General features: G+C 35.8%; 1 annotated feature.

Moving 5' to 3' along the window:
- Positions 15936 to 16162: a silencer, noted in NCBI's record as "fragment chr5:39740675-39740901 (GRCh37/hg19 assembly coordinates)". NCBI's record gives its function as "represses an EF-1alpha promoter that drives an FKBP-Casp9 reporter gene in an ReSE screen in K562 erythroleukemia cells {active_cell/tissue: K562}" and the evidence as "EXISTENCE:reporter gene assay evidence [ECO:0000049][PMID:32094911]".

Genomic DNA, 18382 nt, shown 5'->3' with positions numbered 1-18382 from the left:
CTGATTGGTCTGTGACTATCACTTGGAATATTACTATCACTTATAATTTATACTTTTTCTATGTCCCTGTTTTCATCTCTAATTAGCTTGATAGTTGGTAATAGATAATTACTTGCTTGTTTGTTTGCTTTTCTATGACAGGAATTCACAGCAGTGAACTCTGAGATCTTTCCCATCATCACCGTAGTACCCAGATTTCATAGATTTGAAGACATTAATGAAATAAAATGTCATTATCTTCCTCAAAAAATTGGGTCTCCTCTTTATATGATTACAATGTTTGGAGACTTGAAAGTTCCCCTTGTTTGATAATATTAAATTTGTTGAAATCTGCACCTCAAATGGTTTATTTTGAGTTTCATTTTAGACAATCCAAGCTTTCACTGATTGTGGATGCTCCAAGATTTCATATAGAAGTTCTTACTTCATCTTGTTTGAGTCACTCAAATAAAATATTTCTTTTAATTTGACACAGTAGCAACTTTTTGTCCTGTCTGAAGATATTTCCCTGAATTACTTTGTATTACAAAATTGTCTTCAAACAGACAACCACAAGCATTTGAAGTTTCAGGAGTTCAAAAGCTTTTATTCATATTAAAGTGATAGAAGTTATTACATTCCAACTCATTTCCAGTTCCCAGGCTTACTGAACTGCTGACTCATGCTGACTCATGCTTGGGTCTTATCCCTGGATGCTTCTTATTTATAACCTGAACCAAATTCTCTAGTTATTTCTTTAAAATTAGTTTAAGAAAATAAAACACGTAAAGAAAAGTCTACTGTCTTCAGCTTTGATTGTTATTTTGAGCCCTATACCTTATTTCCCAGAAATATCTTCAGTAAAGCTGAAAATGCCATAAAATATATGACAGAAATGAAAGATACAGCTCCCTGAACTATCATGAGATAGCTTTATCATATTTAAAATTTATATAGTAAAATATTTCACATATATTACTTCATGTAAACCAAGTAATAGCCTTCTGTTTGTAAAACAAACATCTGCTGGAATAAGGACTAGCTCTAAGTCTATTCTTACAGTCATTCCACAACTACTGCCTCCTGCACCATGTTCTGACATCAGAAACTGCCTGACAAATGTATTTATTTACCTCTATTTATGAGTTTGAATTGCTCCACATTCTGAGATCAACTATGGTCCTAGGCAAAAGGCATGTAGGTACTTCTTGCAGAATCAGATATGTGGCTCAGTGTTGAGGTCACCCTGGCCATAGATGGGCTACTGATTATTGTATAGTCCCCTTGTTTACAGCCCCTGGTATCCAGATCCTTAGTTGGGCCACTTTCTACCATTCTGCTAATTCCATTGCCTATTTAATTTACCTTGCGGACTAAATCATCAATTCCATTTCTAGCCCTTGGCAAGAAGGCAACAATAACTTAAGGTTTATTTGAACCAATCTCCAAGGTCTCCATTGAATCAGTCTAACAGGCTCAGTGAAAAAGGAAGATTTGCCATGTTGATATGTTTCACATGGTGCTATCAAAAGATAAAAACTAAACGGTGCATGAACACATCTGGTAGTTAAACATTATGTTTCAGACATTGTGTGCCCTTAAGCACAAAGGCATTGGCCAGACCTGCGGAAATACGGAATGAGTGATTTAGCAAGGAATTGCCACTCTGTGCAGTATTCACTCATTAGCCAGCATGAACAACTACAGAGGATCGATGATCCAATTATCACTTCTCAGTATTCATATTATGCCACTTATCAGTAGCATTTGACACAACTGATCACCATCAGCTATCCCTGGATTATTGTAATAGTCTCCTAACTGGTGTCTCTATTGCAAGTACCATTAGTTTGTCAAATAAAATTGGATGATAATTGTACAGAATCTTGCAAAGAGCTAGAGAATGATGATTAGGAAGTGGGGCATAGAAAATGGGTAATGAAATTAACAGGATGGTAGAAAGAGACTCAAGTAAGGGTCTACATACCAGCGCTGGGAACACAGGGGCTATATAAAAATCGGTGCCCATCTGCAGCCAGAATGATCACAGACAATGAACCTAAGTATGTTCCACCTATCCATCATTCTAAATCTTCACACTTCGACCCATAAAAAGGTAATATATTTTAATCAAATTGTTTATACACACAGAGGTGCACAAAAACTATTTGTTGGGGACTGCACACACCTAATGGGTGTCCCTTACTGAAATCCTGCATCAGTACAATAAAGAAAGACACATTTTAATGACTTTTCTACATATAGTGGGCCTTTCAGCATTCTCTATACTGCTGGTACCTGGCCTAATGCCCGGATATCTTTCTCTCTCTCTCTCTCTCTCTCTCTCTCTCTCTCTCTCTCTCTCTCTCTCTCTCTCTCTATATATATATATATATATATATATATATATATATATATATATATATATATACTTTAAGTTCTGGGATACATGTGCAGAACATGCAGGTTTGTTATATAGGTATGCACATGCCATGGTGGTTTGCTGCACCCATCAACCCATCATCTATATTTGGTATGTCTCTTAATGCTATCCCTCCCCCAGCCCCCCACCGCATGACAGGCCCTGGTGTGTGATGTTCCTCTCCCTGTGTCTATGTGTTCTCATTCTTCAATTCCCACTTATGAGTGAGAACATGTGGTGTTTGGTTTTCTGTTCTTGTGTTAGTTTGCTGAGAATGATGGTTTCCAGCTTCATCCATGTCCCTGCAAAGGACATGAACTCATCCTTTTTCATGGCTGTGTAGTATTCCCTGGTGTATATGTGCCACATTTTCTTTATCCAATCCATCATTGATGGGCATTTGAGTTGCTTCCAAGTCTTTGCCATTGTGAATACTGCTGCAATAAATGAAAAAAAGCTCATCGTCACTGGTCATTAGAGAAATGCAAATCAAAACCACAATGAGATACCATCTCATGCCAGTTAAAATGTCATTTATCAAAAAGTCAGGAAACAACAGATGCTGGAGAGGATGTGGAGAAATAGGAATGCTTTTACACTGTTGGTGGGAGTGTAAATTAGTTCAACCATTGTGGAAGACAGGGTGGCGATTCCTCAAGGACCTAGAACCAGAAATACCATTTGACCCAGCAATCTCATTACTAGGTATATACACAAAGGATTATAAATCATTTTACTATAAAGACACATGCACACTTATGTTTAATGCCCAGATATCTCAAGTCCACTGTATTTGCTGCTCCTGAAAAGCTCTCCGACTAGGTATCTGGAGATGTCATTCCTCATCTTCTTCAGACTTTACTCAGATGTCACCTTCTCAGTGAAACCTTCCCTCGATCATCTTATTTAATAAAGCAACTATCTCCATTCTTTTTATGACCTCTCCTTACCTTTTATTTCTGCTTAGTCCTATCACCATTTTACATATTTACTTATTTATTGTCCTTGTTTCCCTGCCAATATATAAGCTCCACGAAGACACTTTTCTTCATTTACTGCTGTACCCAGTTAATTAATCAGATACTTGTTGAAGGAATGACAGGATATTTAACGCACGAATAATGAATCAATGATGGTTGGACTGAACTGCTTTGAAGTTTCCATTCAACTGTACAATCTTTTATAAATTTTCACTTATAAAATCCAAAGTATATATTGATTTCCTTCTAAAAAGGTCTTAAATTATAATCAAAAATAAAGTTAAAAATATTTAAGCAATATATATGGTATGTGATTTGCAGATCTTCCATTTTGTACAGTCATGAGTGTTCTATCTATGATCTTAAAACCTTGAAAAGAATCATTTGATTCTAAAATTGTTAGCCCATTGGTTTTTGTCTTATTTCATAATATCTAATGCATTTTCCTTCTGTTTCTGGGACTCATCTTAAATTAGCCGCTTGTTAAATCACATTGCCATGCTCTCCTTATAATTTTGCCATACTCAGGTTGATTTCAATTTCTTTTATTGTGGTCTAAAACTTCCTTGCCCTAACTCATATTTTATTATTGTCATCATATCTATGAAATTATCTTTCTATTGTGATAATCTTATAATAATGGTTAGTGATATTTTCTATGAAGGATATTTGAGGAAATAGTGCATTATGATGAAATGTATGTAAAAACTGGCAGATGTTTTCTCAATAAGGGAAAAGAAACCATCAAGAATCATTGTCTTTGAATCCTTTCTTTTTGCCTCAGAGCAAAAAACATGCATTTGCAGTTCTCGTGACATTAAAAAAGTACTTCAGAGTGTCAGTTTACATTATATATTTCAAGCACAAAATTTGGTCCACTTTTTCTCCCTTGGCATAGTTGAGGCTGGCATAAATCAACTTGAAGAAACACGCTCTGACTTTTCTAAAATTTGGGATTAATGTTGGCAACAAAATCTAATTTCAGACTGGTTTTTTAATTCAAGCTTGCACGGGGAAAAATAAAAACCCTTCAACTGAAAAGTGCATTGTATTTCACTGCCTTTCTAGGCATGTGATTTATTCATGCAGATGACTTTCTAATATTTCTAATTTCTACAGTCTGTAGAATCTGTAGAATTTGGACCCTAAGCCTTTTAACAGTGGTGATCTTTTGCCCAGTCCTAGCCACACTGGTCTCTCATGTAACGAATATCATCATTTTGAAGACAAATAGACTGCACCAATGAAAAGATCTGTGGTCCTCTACCTAGAATGTATGAGATTGAACCACTTCTTCCTTATTATATTATTTTTATGAGCAAACCACTTAAAAATACATAGATTAGAAAATTGGAGGGCTAATCTTCTGTGTAATATTCTATATATAAAACTAGTAATAATCACAGCTAATATCTCAGCATAGCAGTTCAGTTTAAATTCTGTTATCAGACTAGGCTATCATTTAGTTACTGTGTAACCTTGAGTAAATCTGCAAACTGTGCTTCAATTTCCCCACCTGTAAGATGAGAACTAAAGTAGTGTTATTTCTAATTAAGTATAAACCATTATAATAGTACTTGGCACATAGTACAAACTCAATAAATGTAAGCCATGATTAATTCTATTGCTTGTGATTTGACATTATTGTTTTTGTAAGCACGTATTTATTGTTATAATGTATTGCTTTTACAATTAGTTTAGGTATTAAGATTGTTCTTAAAAAAGATTACACTTAACATTACAAGATGAATTAGAAAAGTAAAAAGAGTCTATTTAAAACCATTCTGCCAATCTCTGTCTTTTAACTGAAGAGTCTAATCTATTTATATTTAAAGTAATTACTAATAAGAAGGGATTTGCTTCAGTCTTTTTGCTATTTGTTTGTATATGCCTTACCTCTTCTTGGTTCCTGATTTCCTGCATTACTACATATTTGTGTTTAGTTGGTATTTTGTAATGAAATGTTTAATTTCCTTCTCATTTTCTTTGGTGTATATTCTATAACTATTTTCTCTATGATTACCAAGAGGACTGCAATTAACATCCTAAAGTCATAACACTATAATTTGAATTTATACAAGCTTAACTTCAATAAAATAAAAAAAACTCTGCTGATTTACATCTCTGTTCCCATCCCTTTAGGTATTGATGTCACAAAATTACATCTTTATACATCCTGTGTCCAAAAATGTGAACTACTGATTTTTTAAATGCACTATTTTAAAAATGCACTGAAATAATGTAGAAAATAGGTAGAGTTACAAACTGTATTAGTCCATTTTCATATTGCTATGAAGAAATACCTGAGACTGGGTAATTTATAAAGAAAAAGATGTTTGATGGACTCACAGTTCCACGTGACTGGGGAGGCCTCAAGTCGTGGAAGGTGAAGGAGGACCAAAGGCATGTCTTACACAGTGGCAGGCAAGAGAGAATGTGCAAGGAAACTACCCTTTATGAAACCATCAGATCTCATGAGACTTACTCACCATCATGACAACAGCATGGGAAAACCCACCCCCATGATTCAATTACCTCCCAGTGGGAACCTCCCACGACATGTGGAGATTATAGGAGCTGCAATTCAAGATGAGATTTGGGCGGGGACACAGCAAAACCATATCACAAACCAAAGTTGCAATAATACTAGCTTTTACACTAATAATTGTTTTTTGTTTAGTATTAGTCTCTGAAATCATAGAAAACAAAAAGTGAAGTTTCAAACCATAGTTACAATAATAATAGCCTTCATGATTGCTCATGTACTCACCTTTACTGAGATCAAATGGCTTTGAGTTACTGCCTAGTGTTATTTCATTGCAACTTGCAGGATTCTTTTTAGAAATATTTTCAGGACACTGTTGTTGGAAGTGTAAATTAGTTCAGCCATTGTTGAAAACAGTATGGAGATTTCTCAAAGAGCTAAAAATAGAAGTACCATTCAACCCAGCAATTCCATTCCTTGGTATATACCCAAAGCAATATAAACTTTTCTACAATACAGACACTTGCACATTTATGTTCACTGCAGCACTATTCACAATAACAAAGGCATGGAATCAACCTAAATGCCCATCAATAATAGACTGGATAAAGAAAATGTGGTACATATACACCATGGAATACTATGCGGCCATAAAAAGGAATGAGAGCATGTCCTTTGCAGGAACATGGATGGAGCTGGAGGCCATCATCCTTAGCAAACTAACTTAGGAACAGAAAACCAAATACCACATGTTCTCACTTACAAGTGGGAGCTAAATGATGAGAATACATGGACTTAAAGAGGGAAACAACAGATACCAGGGCCAGCTTGAGGTTGGAGGGTGGGAGGATGGAGAGGATCAGAAAAAAATAACTACTGGCTATTAGGCTTAGTTCCTGGGTAACAAAATAATCTGTACAGAAAATCCCCGTGACACACTTTACCTGCATAACAAACCTGTACATGTACCCCTGAACCTAAAGTTAAAAGAAATTCTTTCAGGGCAAACCTAGAGATAACAGTCTCCTATAGCTTTTGTTTATTGATGAATACTTTAATTTTTTCCTCACTTTGGAAGCACAGTTTTTGTGGATAAATGATTCTTAATTTTTTTCTTTTAGCACTTTAGTATATTAGCTCACTGCCTTTGATCTCTTAACTTTCTAATGATAAATCTTCTCATAAACCTACTGAGGCTGACTTGTAAGTGATAAGCTGCTTCTCTCTTGCTGCTTTCAAGATTTTTCTCTTTGGTTAACAGTTTGATTATAATGTGTGTCAGTGCTTGTCTCTTGGAGTTCATTTTACTGAGAGAACATTAAGCTTCTTGGATATTTATACTCATTTTTTTAAAATCAAATTTGGTTATGTTTTTGACCATATTTTTTCAAACAATTTGTCTTCCCCTTTCTTTTTCTATTCTCTTTTTGGGAATCTCCCAGTGTGTAAGTTGGTCTGCTTGATGGTGCCCTACAGGTCCCACAGTCTCTCTTCAATTTTCTTAAATCTTTTTTCTTTCCATTTCCTAGACCTGTTAATTTTTATTGTTCTATCTTTAAGCTCACTGATTTTTTTTTCTTCTGCCTTCTCTTTTTTAGAAGGCTTGCCATCTAATTTTTCTCAGGTACAGTTTCTGTTGGCTTATTATTATTATTTACTTTAAATAGGCCATACTTGCCATTTCATGCCCTGTGATTTTTTCCTGAAAACCAGACAATTGAATCTACTAATGTGGCAACTATGAAAATCAGATTTGTTCCTTTCCCCAAGGTTTGTTGTTTTTCTTTTGTTTTTATTGTAGGTTGTGTTTATGCTAAAGATCAGCCTGAGGTGTAAACTTAAGGTCTTCTCAGGTCTTCGTTTTGTTTTGTATTGTTTTTTTATGACAGTTTCTCACTCTGTCACCCAGGCTTGAGTGCAGTGGCGCAATCATGGTTCACTGCAGCCTCAACCCCCTGGCCTAAAGTGATCCTTCTGCCTCAGTCTCCCACTTCAGCTAGGGACTACAAACATGTACCATCATCCCCAGCTAATTTTTATTTTTTAATTTTTTGTAGAGATGGAGCTCTCACTAATTGCCCAGAGTGGTCTCAAACTCCTGGCCTTCAGCAATCCTACCACCTCAGCCTCTCAAAGTGCTGCAATTATAGGCATGAGACACTGCATCCAACCTTTTGTTTCTTTAGAGACAGGGTCTCACTTTGTCACTCAGGCTGGAGTACAATGGTGTGATCACAGCTCACTGTAATCTTGAACTCCTGGGCTCAAGTGATCTCAGCCTCCCGAGTAGCTAGGACCACAGGTGTGCACCACCACAATTGGGTAACTTCTTTTAATTTTTTTAGTAACTGGTTCTCACTCTGCTGCCCAAGCTGGTCTTGCATTCTTGGCCTTAAGCAATCTTCCCACCTTGGCCTGCCAAGGTGCGAGGATTATAGGCATGAGCCACTGCACCTAGCCTCTTCTCAGATCTCTTAATGGGCCTTTGCTTTTCTCTGTGCATGTATGGTAGCTTTCTAAATCACCTTATATGTATATAGTTGGTTTGAGTGTCCCAGTCTTTAATATCTGGTTCCCCCCCCAAAAAAAAGAAAAAGAAAAAAGAAAAAAATGAAGGGGTGAGGAATGGCCTCAGCCCTTTAAATGCTAAGTATATTTATTTAGCCTGAGAGGGAGACGCTGCAACAATGAGGGAGGGGTACAACAACAGCTAACCACCTAGATGTCTGCACCTTCCTGATTAGTAACAGCAATCAGTGATCAGAACATAGAACACGGATCTCCAACATTTGGAGTAGAGTTCTGCTTGCTCACCCTGGCCCTCTCAAGCTGCATGTAAGCTGCTTTAGGAACATGTGCATGGCTGCTTTCCACAGGGCTAGAGGTGGAGGATGGGTAGCTGCTGCTGAGCTAAACACTAAGAGCAATCCAAATTAACTACAATTTGCCATCCAACACTTCCCCTGAAAGTTACAAGGCTTTAATAGACCCTAGAGTTCCAAAATAATTATATCAGACAGATTCTACCAGTGCAATTGTTGGTTAGGTAGGGAAACAGATTCTTGATACTTCCTACTCTTCCATCTTCCCAGAACCCTCCTTCTATTATCAGTATTTTGTCATCTTTTTATAGCTCTTAAGCAAGTTAGATAGCTCCCTTCTATGCAATATTTATGAAATAATCAAAACTATGGACTGCTGGATAGCAGGAGCGCTCCAAAAATTAATAAATAAATTAACTAATTAATATAAAGAAAAAAACTCACAAGGGTATAATGTCTATAGAATTTAGAAAATAGAAGTCTACATTTGTGCACAGTGAGGCCAAGATTAATTTGGAGTTCTAGAAAGCCAGAGAAGCATCATGAATGTATAATGGCCTAGAAAGTGTGGCAGGCACTAGTTGAGGTGGGTACCTGCTATGGTTTAGATACGGTTTGTTTGGCTCTACCAAGTCTCATGTTGAAATTTAATCCCCAATACTGGAAGCAGGCCCTGGTGGGAGGTATGGAGGTGGATTTCTCATGAATAGCTTGGTGCTGCCCTCACAGTAATGAAACGAGTGAGTTCTCATTCTATTGATTCCTACTGAGAGCTGCTTGTTAAAAAGTGCCTAAAACCTTCTCCCCCACCTTGCTTCCTCTCTTGCCAAGTGATCTTTGGGCCTTGTGTGGTGGCTCATGCTTGTAATCCCAGTACTTTGAGAGGCCAAGGTGGGAGGATTGGTTGAGGCCAGGAGTTCAAGACCAAGTGATATGCATATGCCAGCTTCTGTTTCACCTTGTGTCATGAGTTGAAGCTTCCAGAGACCCTCATCAGAAGCAGATGCTGGTACCATGCTGTATTAGTCCATTCCCACACTGCTATAAAGATACTATCTAGGACTGGGTAATTTATAAAGGAAAGAGGTTTAATTGACTCACAGTTCCACACGGCTGGGTAGGCCTCAGGAAACTTACAATCATGGTAGAAGGCAAAGGGGAAGCAAGGACCTTCTTCACATGGTAGCAGGAAAGAGAAGTGTATGCAGGGGAAATGCCAGATGCTTATAAAACCATCAAATCTCATGAGAACTCAGTCAGTATCATGAGAATATCAGGACGGAATCCGACCCCATGATCCAGTCACCTCTCTCCCTTGACACGTGAAGATTACAGTTCAAGATAAGATTTGGTGAGGACACAGAGCCATACGATATCACATGCTTCCTGTACATCCTGAAGAAGAATGAGCCAAGTAAACCTTTTTGCTTTATAAATTACCCAGCTTCAGGTATTCCTTTATAGCAACACAAATGAACTTAAGACAGTACCATTGAATGGAATGAAGGCCCCCAAGGATATACTCTAAAGCACAACAGTACCGAGCCACTATAGAATAATAAAGTTAATTTTTAAAACCAAACATGAAATATCTTATTTAGAGAAAAATAATTTTATGTCTGGACTACATTAATAAAAAATATTTAATAATTTTATGAATTCATGATGTCTAGAGGTTTACTGGGTAGCTGAGCTACTAGTTTCATTCATTTCTTATCTTTAAAAGGGGCTATAAGATATGGGATGATTTTGTAAATAAATATCATATTTTGTTCTTTTAATTCTAAAGGAATGTTGGAGAAATCCCCCACACATTTAGAAGTCAAAATAAAATTTTCAACAGAAGTTTAATTACCTGCAAAATATGTAAATTACAGTATACTATAAATATTAGCTTTTAAAATAAAGCTATTATAAATCTTGCTGTGGTTTGAATGTGTCTCCTCGAGAATTCAGGTGTTGCCAATTTGATAGTATTAGAAGGTAGAGCCTTTAAGAGTTCATTACATCAAGAAGCCTCCTCCCCTTGTGAATGGGATTTGGAGCCTTCATAAAAAAAGAGAGTTTGTCTCACTCATCCCTCTCCACCTTCCACCATGTGAGGACACAGCATTTCTCCTCTCTGTAGAATGCAGCATCAAAGAACCATCTTGGAAGCAGAGAGCAGTCCTCAGCAGACAACAGAACCTGCCAGCACCTTGATCTTGAACGTTTCAGTTTCTAGAACTGAGAGAAACTACAGCTGTCTTCTTTTTAAATGACCTAGTCTGTGGTATTCTGTTATAGTGGCATGAACAGAATAAGATGATTCTCTTAAATGTATCCAAAACAGTCTAAATAATATAGTGATTTGATACTCACCATTATACATTTATAAATATATAAACAATCTCTTAAATAGTTGTAAACTTTATATTTGTCTTTTTCCCTATGAGTTAGAATTTTCATTCTTGTTCCCCTCTAACAGAGTTTTATCTCAATGTAATACAATTTTATGCTTGAAAATCTTACGGTCATCACTTACACTTCTATTCAGCAAAATTATGTACATATTGAATTTAAAATTTTTAAATTCTTTGGGAACCATAAATGTCTGAGTGTTAAAAAGAAAGTTCCATATTGAAAAGTCATCACAATAATTGTGTTAGTTCACAATTGATCAAAACAATGTAACTATTATATATATTTCACATCCAAAATTAGTAATCATAAAAAGTAACAATTTTGGAAATACATCTGTTATTGATTTTTTTGTGGTGCTTTATTATCCAATGGGTTTAAATGTTTATCAATATCATTATTTTCTAGATTAGACTGTATAAATTCTACTCCTATTTTTTTTGCTTTTATAAATGTAAAGGCTAAGAGTCTATGTTCATGTACTAAGTAAATAGAAGTCCAAAGAGTTTTTCCAGGGCATTATCACTCAATTCTTTAAATTCCATTCAAGTTTTATGCCAAAAGGCACAAAATGATCTTTCACCAAAATTATTTTTAATGTTCTATTTGCTGGCAATTGTATTACCTTCCTTAAATATTCTTGAAAGCGAAGAATTTAAAACCAGTAAACCTGCAAAAGGATTTCTTACCAACTCATTAGCGTCACTCATTTTCTCATCACTCTCACTGATATTTCAAATCACCTCTTTGGTGACACAAAGATTTTGCCACCTGGTGGCATGTACCAAGGTAAGATTCAAAGTGGATAAGAAATGTGCCTTTATTGTATAAAAAGGGAATACAAGTGATTTTTTAGGGGGGCTATTTGGGTCACAGATTAGTTCTCAGGAAGATACACTCAGAGGATAGTGTACATATAAATGTTGAAGATCTAGTAATAAATTTTTAAAATATTATTCATGCCATTTACCCTTGAAAAGTTTATCACCTCAGGGATACATATTACCCAGCTTGGAGAATATTGTTTCTGAGAGCCTGAAAATAGTAATAACTATTTAGAGGATAATAAAATCTCTAAAAACTGGACTGGATATTTGGAGGAGAATGTGTAAACTACATTATATTAAAGCTGTTATTTTTTATTCTTTTCTTTAAATGGTAGAAACAGAGTGCAGAGCTAGAAAGTTGCCCATGAACAGCATGACTAAAACCAGAGCATCTTAGCACCCGGAAGATCTTCCTTATTTTGTAACTGCTGAATGGATCCTACGCTTACTAAATAACTGGCTTATTTTTTGTTATATCACACCAGATGTAGTATAATATTGTTTTCTCAAAAACATTAACACAACATATAGCTAAAAAATTATGCTTTCATATCATTGTTGTCCTCTCCAACTCAACAAAAATGATGTGTGCATGTGTGTATTCCAGTGTGGTGAGGAAGAGGTCGTTACAAAACACTTATAAGTAAAACAGAAAGTATGCTCCTAATTTATGGCATTAACCAATCCCTGTATAAAACTATAACTCAATCACACATTGACCATGAGGTGTAGCTTATCTTGTACTGTACTTTTTTCTAAAAAAAGTATACCTTATCAGTACTTTTTAAAAAGTAAAATCCAAGATAAACTACATTTAATGGTACACTTTAAATGGGTGTAAGTGTATGCTATGTGAGTTACATTCCAATAAAACTCTTAGTTTTAAATTGGAGATGAGTAACTAACATCTCAATGGAAGAGGGACAAGTGATATAAGGACAATCTTATGCAAGAACTCTTTAAAGCATACAAAATGAGGATGTGATGTAAAAGAAACCATGCTTATATAATTACACTCACCCCCCACACACACACAAACACACAAACAATAAGAACATCACATCATTCATGGTTTCCTACAATTCTAAAACTATGTGGTATTCTTCGACATTAAAAAGAGGCAGTTAACGTTTTACTTCTTCCTTCTATGTAGCAACTTACATATTGGTATAAATATATATCTGCTATTCTTTAACTGGACAAATGGGTATCTGAAACAATAGTAACGATTTGGAAATGTTAGAGCTACATGTGACCTAAAGGCCCATTTAGTCTGGTACTAATTCTACAGACAGTATTAGAATCCCAGAGAGCTAAAGACATTGTCCAGAGAACTTGTGAAACACAGAGTGGAACCAGTCACCAATTCCCTTACTTAATGGTAGAGCACCATACCCCAATGCCCTGGCACCATGCCTTGTGAAACTACTTGAACTTGGAAAAGTGTGAGGTAAGCAAAAGCTTATAAATTATGACTATTTGAAAGTAAAGATGGAAACGATCCAAAGAAGCAAAGTTCTGGGCATATAAGAAAAATTAAAGAAAAATAAACTATAGAAAATTTCAAGATAAACTCTGGAATGATAATCAAAAGGAGAGTTTTTAATTGAGTAAGATACCAAAGTTGTCCACTGAAACACAGCAGCACCACTAAGGGCCTCTGGCAGCAATGAGAGAAGCACGCCTCAGACAGACTCTCATCTTGAATCACGAAGACTGAGTCAAGCAGGCCAAGCTGTTCAGTGGGGAAGAGAAATGATGAATGATTAGATAGATTCATCACCAAGGTCCTCTGTAGACAGCCTCAGAGTGTGTTCACTCTTCAAATGGAAATAATACATTACATAGAACTCCCACATAAAAGGACATACAATATGTAACAAAGAAAAATAATGAATAATAAGTGAAATCATAATAATGAGATCTACTTTATTGGTGCTGTGTATATTACTGCGTAAGTCCAAACTCAATATCCAGGACTGTCACTGGAATATAATTTCTCATGTTTAAAAAAAAAAAAAGGTCAAACAACTTTTCAATAATTTATCTCACATGTTTAGAATATTGTATGAATTACTTTCTATAATTTATTCAAGTTTAAGTAAACTGGAAAATATGATCTTTTCAAGGTTCTCATATTAATGAAACATCTGCAAAGAAACAGCCCTTTCTGCACATCTGGCAAAGGTAAAATTCATGCTCTGTCTAGTCTGTCAAAACTGAGTGAAATTGCCCAACATTCGCAGGGCCTGGAGCAAGAGTACAAATGGAAGCCCATGGACCATATGTCTGTCTGTAACAGCATGAATCAAATGAAAACTATTTAATAAAAGATACCCCACACTCCTACATTGCTAACTGCACCTTCAAAACACTAAAATGTAAAATATTTAACTAAAAGTCAATGAAATATCAAAGATAATGTATTAAATTATTGTAGAACATACATCACCCTGCAGACGTATCGGTAGTGTTTAGAAGAGTTATAAAAATATATATAAAATTCAGAAGTTAGGTCTGAATTGTGTAGAATTACACAATAAAATTTACTTTTATTGCTTTAATTTTAGCACAATAGCTAATTATAGTATTGTAGTTAATGTTTTCATAATTTTAATTGTCACAATAACAACATAAAGGATTAAAAATAACATGTAAATATATTCATTATAACAAATTTAAGTATAGTTTCATCAGAAATGTAAACTAAAGTGAAAATAAAAACAAAGTAGTAAAATCATTTAATATACTTGTTAAAACTTAATTTTTCTAAAATATTGAAAATTATATCAATGTTTACAGGAAAATATATTTGTAGAATATCAAATCTGAAATAAATAACTTTAAAATTAGCTGTGTTTTATTTAATTTGGAAAATTTAACTATGCTTATTTTATCCTTTTATAAACATACTCCCAATTTTGCAAATCAGCAATAGGAAAGTGTCAACACATTACACCACAGTGACCTGTCTTCTTAAACAATTGATTCAAAAACCTATAGAGTGCCATGGTGTAATTATGAACTTTAAATCTGACTAAATGAAACAAGTAACATGAGATTCTTTTTACCCTAAATACTTGAGGGAAAAACCCAAAATATGATTTTTAAATTAGTTATATTCTCACATTAAGACCTCTAGTTGATAGTGACTTTTCTAAAATCAGGGGTTATAATCATGTCCCCTGCTTTCTGGGTCATACTGTTTTTAACCTTACCTTATAGGAAGTCCGACCAATTCCATTTACACTGTTTTGCAGCCACTGAAAGTTTGTAAGGAACAAACCAAAAATTTCAGTGATCATTGTGTTCACTGTTATATCAATTCCTAAATCCTAAACTGTTTTTAACCTTACCTTACAGGAAGTCTGACCAATTCAATTCACACTGTTTTGCAGCCACTGAAAGTTTGTGAAGAACAAACCAAAAATTACAGTCAAGATTGCGTTCACTGTTATATCAATTCCTAAGTCCCAGGGTCCCAGAGAATAATCGATAATTAAAATATTTTTAAAATACCACAGAAGTACTTATATCAAAAAATAAGTAATTTTTTTTTTTTAGTTGTGACGGATGAAACCAACATACCATTATTTATACTTCTAAATGCTTTCAAAGGAAGAGTCTTCCAAATAGCAAGTGTAATTGTGGTCTGGATGAGCAGGGAGAAGGCAGGAAAGAGGGCTGCCTGGATGAAAACTGGAAACACATTTTCACAATGCAGCACATCCTGGATAGTCTCACAGATCAACTTACTCATGAGCCTAATCAAAACTAAGCTTTGAACTCACAAACTAGTATTTGTTCACTAAAAGCAATTCAATATTTTTCTCAATATCATACCTGAGTGACATAAACAAATTGATTCTCAGTGGAGTAAGAGATTGGCTCTCGAGTTTTGTATTATAGTGTTAAGACAGAACAAGGCCCTGGGAATCTTGTCTTGCAAGGCTGGTAGTGCTGATAATGGTTGAGAAATGTTGCCCTTCCACACTGATCTCTACTTTTCTTTGTTCTTTTCCAATCTTCTTTAATGTACCCTCCTCCCCTTCTTTCCCTATCGTCCTGTCAAGTTTTCTATGTTCTCAATTTCAGTTTGGCAGCATGTTTGCGTCAGAGTGGTTGCAAATGATGGAGGACTCTGTGGAGCCCGTGGGACATCAGCCCGCTGGCCGGGTTCCCTAGAGCGCTGCTCCACTGTCGCCAGGTCTCAGGGCTGGTAAGTATGTGTACAGACACGCCTGCATGCGTAGCCGCGACTGAATCACGGGTTCGTCATGAGTTCTTTTGCATGATATCAGTAACCACCAAAATCTCACCGCAGTTTCCCCAAGGCTGAATTTATTCATTTCAAAAAACAGCATCGGGAATATTCTAAGACTTTTACTACACAGAGGAACTGGTGAGGCAGTAAAATCGTTTTATTTGAAATAACAATAAAAAGCCAAATTGGAGTGCAGCTAGAAGGGATTAGACCACCACAAAACTAGCCTTACTGGAATTGCTTCCAAGAATGTTAACAATCTATTGGGAGACAGTATGTTTTCTGGAACCAAAATTGAAGGTGGGTGGGGAGAAGAATAGGCAAGTAAAGGCAGCCATGAGGAAACTGAACTTTCATCACCTTGAGCACGGTATTTTTGAGTATTAACTATGCTTGGCATGCAAAAAGCAGTTAAAAGTCTAACAACCAAGCGTGAACTTCACGCACCTAAATCTCCTGTGATAGTTCTAGACAATACTTGGCAATCCGCTTTGTAAATGGGTTTTAAACAAGTACTCATAATGATGAAACAATATAGAGGAACAAATTGCGGTAAGAAAAGCATGCTGTTGATGTCAAAAGAAGCCAGCCCGTTACCGTAATTCCAGCAACACATTGACTGTGGTCCTGGCCACAGGCAAATTTCTGATACCTGCTTTTTAAATTATCACCCAGGGTGGCTTGGAGAAATGTGGTAACTTTGGGTATGTTAACACTTCCATAAATTAATTCAGTTAGAAGAAGATACACTTAGAAATGTAGAATATAAGCCTGATGTGTTGACATGTATTGAAAAGGAACAAAAAAGACAATAGTTATTTATTTTAATAGCAAGTTGTGATACCAAACAACATTCTTCCTTTTACCTCATTGTCTTCCATGGCCTAGGCCTTCCTTTATTTTTAGTTAATTCCTACATGGGTGCTTTTTAATTCAAAATAAATACTATATCATTCTGACAGGTTTGCTCAGAAAAACACTGTATGTTCTTTTTAAGATTGGAGACATAATTGACTCTTCTCATTATTTAAGTGGCATTTATTGAACACTTAATTTTCCTCAGCACTGTATTAGACAACTACTATGAACAATGGCAAATGATACACATTATGCTCTTGATAAATTAATACCATATTTGAAAGAGAAGATTATATGTGTATTGGAATAAAAATATCCACATAATTATTGTAAGTCGAGCGAATAGTATAGGTAGCAATGTTGGAGAAATTCAAATGGAGAGGACTGAGCAGACACCCCAGGCTGAGGATTTCTGTTGAGAGGTCAGATGGTGATGATACTCAGGAGAGATGAATTTCAGGCCAGACACGCCTGAGCTCAAAATCCAATTTTGCTCCTTACTTAACATCTATGTGTGTGTGTGTGTGTGTGTGTGTGTGTGCGTGTGTGTGTGTGTTTGTGTTTCATCTGTGAAACAAAAACAGTAACAATTCCTAACTTTGTAATTGCTGAAAGGACTAAGTGGATTAATGTTGAATGCTGACTCATAGTAAATATTTAAAAGATGTTTTAATAAAGGAATAGTAGAGGATAAGGTTTAAAAGGAAGTATGGGCGGGGCGTGGTGGCCCAAGCCAGCAATCTCAGCACTGTGGGAGGCCGAGGCAGGCAGATCACTTGAGGTCAGGAGTTTGAGACCAGCCTGGCCAACATGGTGAAACCCCATCTCTACTAAAAATGCAAAAAATTAGCCAGGCGTCGTGGCATGCCCTGTAGTCCCAGCTACTCAGGAGGCTGAGGCATGAGAATTACTTGAACCCAAGAGGCGGAGGTTGCAGTGAGCCGAGATAGCGCCACTGCACTCCAGCCTGGGAGACAGAGTGAGACTCCATCTCAAAAAAAAAAAAAAAAGAAAAAAGAAGTATGACATATTGCAGGTAATAAATATAGGACAAGGGACCCTCTGACTAATACAGTCAGTTATATACTGGGTAAACTGCAAGAAATGTCTCCCTATAATAAACTCAGGACTCCAAGAAGAAAGGAAAATATATAAAGGCAGAAAAGAAAATAATGAAGGAATAGAATGAGGAGGAGGAAGAGAAACAAGAGAAGAAACAGAAATAGAAAAATTAGAAGAAGAAGGAGATGTTTTCTAAAGAATAATTTTTAGAATGAAACAATATTTTGAATGGCACCGAGGCAAAAAATATCTAATAAGAATTTTAACTTTCAGTTACAAAATA

Source organism: Homo sapiens, chromosome 5 (assembly GCF_000001405.40).
Source record: "Homo sapiens chromosome 5, GRCh38.p14 Primary Assembly".
NCBI classification, from domain to species: Eukaryota; Metazoa; Chordata; class Mammalia; order Primates; family Hominidae; genus Homo; species Homo sapiens.
This window is presented reverse-complemented; position numbering and strand designations above follow the sequence as displayed.